The sequence below is a fragment of the Homo sapiens genome, chromosome 12, assembly GCF_000001405.40.
Source record: "Homo sapiens chromosome 12, GRCh38.p14 Primary Assembly".
NCBI classification, from domain to species: domain Eukaryota; kingdom Metazoa; phylum Chordata; class Mammalia; order Primates; family Hominidae; genus Homo; species Homo sapiens.
This window is the reverse complement of record NC_000012.12, coordinates 82,119,989-82,125,074: the sequence shown is the minus strand read 5'-3', so window position 1 is coordinate 82,125,074 and position 5,086 is coordinate 82,119,989. Positions and strand designations below refer to the sequence as shown.

General features: G+C 41.1%; 1 annotated feature.

The window, feature by feature from the left end:
* Window positions 3,414-3,914: an enhancer, noted in NCBI's record as "H3K27ac hESC enhancer chr12:82514940-82515440 (GRCh37/hg19 assembly coordinates)". NCBI's record gives its function as "activates a minimal SCP1, AML or CMV promoter by ChIP-STARR-seq in naive H9 embryonic stem cells {active_cell/tissue: H9 hESC(naive)}" and the evidence as "EXISTENCE:reporter gene assay evidence [ECO:0000049][PMID:30033119]".

The following is a 5,086-nucleotide window of genomic DNA, read 5'->3' as shown; positions in this document are numbered from 1 at the left end:
TTAGTTCATTGAGAGTTTTTAACATGAAAAGATGTTGAATTTTATTGAAAGTCTTTGCTGCATCTATTGTAATAATCATGTGCTTTCTATTCTTAGTTCTGTTTATGTGATGAATCACATTTACTCATTTGCACATGCTGAACCAAGCTTGCATGCCAGGGATAAAGCCTACTTGATCAGGGTGGATTAGCTTTTTGATAAGCTGCCAGATTCGGTTTGCTAGTATTAGGATATTTGCCTCAAAGTTCATCAAGGATATTGGTCTGAAGTTTTTTGTTGTTGTTGTTGTATCTCCACCAAATTTTGCTGTCAGGTTGATGCTGGCGTCATAGAATGAGTTGGGGAAGAGTCCCTTCTCCTAAATTTTTTGGACTAGTTTCAGTAGAAGTGGTACCAACTCTTCTTTGTGTATCTGCTAGCATTTGGCTGAGAATCTATTTGATCCTGGGCTTTTTTCATTTGGTAGGCTATTTATTACTAATTCAATTTTGGAGCTCATTATTGGTCTGTTCAGGGATTCAATTTATTCCTAGTTCAGTCTTAGGAGGGTGTGTGTGTCCAGGAATTTATTTCTTCTGTATTTTCTAGTTTATGTGAACAGAGATGTTCATGGGTGTCTCTGATGGTTATTTGCGTTTCTGTGGACTCAGTGGTAACATCTTTGTTGTTTCTAATTGTGTTTATTTGGATCTTCTCTTTTTACTTCTTCATTAGATTAGCTAGCAGTCTATCTTTTTAATTAATTTTTTCAAAAAAACAACTCTTGTCTTCATTGATCTTTCAAATGATTTTGTGTGTGTGTGTCTCAGTCTCCTTCAGTTCACCTCTGATCTTGGTTATTTCTTGTCTTCCACTAGCTTTGGAGCTGGTTCATTATTGCTTGTCTAGTTCTTTTAGTTGTGATAGGTTGTTAATTTGACATCTTTCTAACTTTTTAGTATGTGCATTTAGTGATAAGAATTTCCCTCTTAACAATGCCTTTAGTTATGTTCCTGAGATTCTGGTATGCTGTATCTTTGTTCTCGTTAGTTTCAAAGAACTTCTTGATTTCTGCCTTAACTTCATTATTTATCTGAAAGTCATTCAGGAGCAGGTTGTTTAATTTCCATGCAGTTGTATGGTTTTGAACAATTTTCTTTGTCTTGATTTCTATTTTTATTGCTCTGTGGTCCAAGAGAGTGGTTGGTATAATTTCTATTCTTTTGCATTTGCTGAGGATTGTTTTATATCCAATCATGTGGTGGATTTTAGAGCACATGACGCATGGCAATGAGAAGAATGCATATTGTATTGGTTTTGGGTGAGATTTCTATAGATGTCTATCTGGTTCATTTGGTCCAGTGTTGAGCTCAGGTCCTGTATGTCTTTGCTAATTTTCTGCCTTGATGATCTATTATTGTCAGTGGGTAAGTAGGGTGTTGAAGTTTCCCACTATTATTGTGTGGGAGTCTAAGTTTCTTTGACAGTCTCTGAGAACTTTCCTTATGAATCTGCGTGCTCCTGTGTTGGTTGCATATATATTCAGGATAGTCAGATATTCTTGTTGAATTGTACCCTTTACCATTATGCAATTTTCTTCTTTGTCTTTTTTTTAATATCCATTGGTTAAATGTCTGTTTCATCTGAAATTATTATTGTAACGTATGCTTTTTTCTGTTTTCTATTTACTTGGTAGATTTTTCTTCATTCCTTTATTTTGAGCCTGTAAGTGTCACTGCATGTGAGATGGGACTCTTGAAGACAGCATGCCATTTGGTCTTGCTTCTCTATCCACCTTGCCACTCTGTGCCTTTTAATTGGGGCATTTAGCTTGTTTACATGCAAGGTTAGTATTGATTTATGTGGATTTGATCCTATCATCATGTCATTAGCTGGTTATTATGCCAACTTGTTTGTGTGGTAGCTTTACAGTGTCATTGGTCTGTGTACTTAAGTGTGTTTTTGTAGTGGTTAGTAACAATCTTTCCGTTCCACATTTAGTGCTTCTTTCAGGTGTTCTTGTAAGGCAGGTCTGGTGGTAATGATTTCCTTCAGGATTTCTTATCTGAAAGGGATCTTATTTCTCTTTTACTTATGAAGCTTAGTTTGGCTGGATATGAAATGCTTGGTTGAAATTTCTTTTCTTTAAGAATGTTGTATGTAGGCTTCCATTCTCTGCTGACTTGTAGGGTTGCTGTTGGCAGGTCCACTATTAGTCTGATGGACTTCCCTTTGTAGGTGATCTGTCTTTCCTATTTTGCTGCTTTTAACATTTTTTCTTTCACTTCAACCTTGGAGAATCTGATGATTATATGTCTTGGGGATGATCTTCTTGTGAATGAAGTATCTTGCTGGGGTTCTCTGCATTTCCTGAATTTGAATGTTGGCCTCTCTAGCTAGATTAGGGAAGTTCTCCTGAATAATATCCTGAAATATGTTTTCCAAGTTGTTTCTATTTTCCCCATCTCTTTCAGGGATGCCAATGAATCATATATTTGGTATTTTTACATAATTTCATGTTTCATGGAGGTTTTGTTTGTTTCTTTTCATTCTTTTTACTTTATTCTTCTCTGACTGTCTTATTTCAGACAGCCAGTCTTCAAGTTCTGAGATTCTTTCCTCTGCTTGGTCTATTCTGCTGTTAATACTTGTGATTGCATTATGAAATTCTTGTGGTGTGTTTTTTAGCTCTAGTAGGTCAGTTACATTCTTTTCTATACTGGGTATCTCATCTGTCAGCTCCCTTGTTGTTTCACTGTGATTCTTAGCCTCCTCAGCTTTCAATATTCTTCTGAATCTCAATGATGTTCCTTTCTATCCATATTCTGAATTTTATTTCTATCATTTCAGGCATCTCAACCTTGTTAAGAACCCTTTCTGGAGAATTAGTATGGTCGTTTGAAGGAAAGAAGGCACTCTGGCTTTTTGAGTTGTCAGAGTTCTTGTGTTTATTCTTTCTCACCTTTGTGGGCTTATGTTCCTTTAATCTTTGAGGTTGCTATTTTTGGGATGAATTTATTTTTCCTTTATCCTATTTGATGACCTTGGGGATTTGATTGTGATAAAAGATGGGTTCAGCTGATTGAATTCGCTTCTGGAAGATTTTAGGGGGACAAGGCTCAGCTCAGCACTACTACTGGACTGTGTGCTGTAATGCTTGGGGACTGATATTGGCCCCAGCTTTTTTCTTTGGCTCCTCAAGGTTAGGTACTTGCTGCACTGGAGGAGCTGAGGTACTCCTGAGCTGCTGGTCAAAACACTCCAATGGGTGGTGCCAGCAAAAGCCCTTCATAGGGTGGTGGCAGTGGAATCAATCCTAGTTGGCACATGCCAGCAGTGGTGGCAGCATGGCAGGGTGCATGCTTGTTGGCTGCAGCAGGATGTTAGCAGGTGCCTAAGTGCCAGTTTCCATGCCAGCATTTGTAGCAGTGGTGGTGGCAGCATGGTTGTGGAGCAGGAGTGGACAGGGGCCTCCATCATTGACTAGGCACACATTTGAGCCAGTGTTTGTGATAGCATGTGGGTGGGGCACTAGTGGACTTTGTGTTTCCTCTGTGTGCATTCATGTGGGTGGCAGTGGCTGCTCAGGGTGGGGGCAGGTTCATTGCTTTTCATACCTAGTTTCATGCTGGTGGCAGTGTTGGTGCAGGGGCAGAATGCTGGCAGGGGCAGAGCTGGTGAGCTCTGTGCCCACCAACGCTTGGACAGCAATGGTGATGCAGCAGTGGGACAGGGAGAAGGGTGCACTCACACAGACTCCAGTGGCATGGAAGGGTGCATGTGCACATGCCTGCTGATAGGAAAGGACAAAACAAGGTCCTCCCATGAACACACCAGGAGGTAAAGCAATATCAGGGGTGGCAGTGGGTAAAGGCATGCAGGTAAAGCGGCATGGGGGAGGCTGTAGTGGGGGAGGGGACAGCTCTGCTGGAGTGCTCTGGTAAGGTGCTGTCTGCCAGTGCAGGAGCTATGATGCAGGCTCCCAGGAGCTACCTACCCTGTCCCCGCCAGGCACCCAAGGCTGCACTGCAAACAGGCACTGCCAGGCTGGGGCCCTGGGAGAGGCCAGCAGACTGAAGCGTGCTCAGGATCTGACTGACCCTATCTCATGCGCAAGATTACTTTGCAGGGTTCAGCTCTGATATTTCCCCTAAAGACAAAGTCTCCTATGGGAGCAAGTTGACCCTAGGGAAATGGGTGTCCCTGGCCATACACCACTAAAGATGCTCCCGCACAAAACCCTCTGAGCTCTGCACTGGCTGGAGTTCTGCTTCTACCACTTCTCTAAGCAGCTTTGCCAGACAACTCAAGTGTCCACGGCAGTCATGGGGCCTCCTCTTGGCTGGAATTTCAGAGGCCCATGGCAAGAGCTGGTTGCTCCACTCTCCCCTTTCATATGAGTTGTTGGGGGCCAAGAATAAATCCTTGTATGTGGTAGCCCTGAACAGGGTTATTAACTTTCTCCCTCCTCAGCCCAGCATCTATGTCTTCCTTCCATCCAATCTCAATGCCTTCCTTCTGAAGATCTGCAAGAAGTGTGTCAGTGTGTTCCATGTCCTGTTCCTTTGGTGGCTGATGTTCCTCCTGGCTGCATCTAGTTGGTCATCTTGCCCATTTTTTCTAATTCTGTGAAAAATAACATTGGTCATTTGATAGGAATAGTATTGAATAGCAGTATGGCCATTTTAATGATATTGATTCTTCCAATCCGTGAGCATGAAATGGTGACGAGTGGTACCTGAGTAAAGAGCTTCTACACAACAAAATAAATCATCAACAGAGAAAACAGACAACCTACAAAATGCGAGAAAATATTCACAAACTACACTTCTAACAAAGATCTAATATCCAGAATCTATAAGGAACTTAAACAGATCAAGAAGCAAAAAGCAAATAACCCCATTGTAAAATGGGCAAAGGACATGGACAGTTTTCAAAAGAAACATAAAAGTGACAAATAAACATATGAAAAAATGCTCATTGTCACTAATCATCAGAGAAATGCAAATCAAAGCCATAATGAGATACCCACTCATATCAGTCAGAATAGCTGTTATTAAAAAGTCAAAAAATAACAGATGCTGGCGATGGAACACTCATACACTGT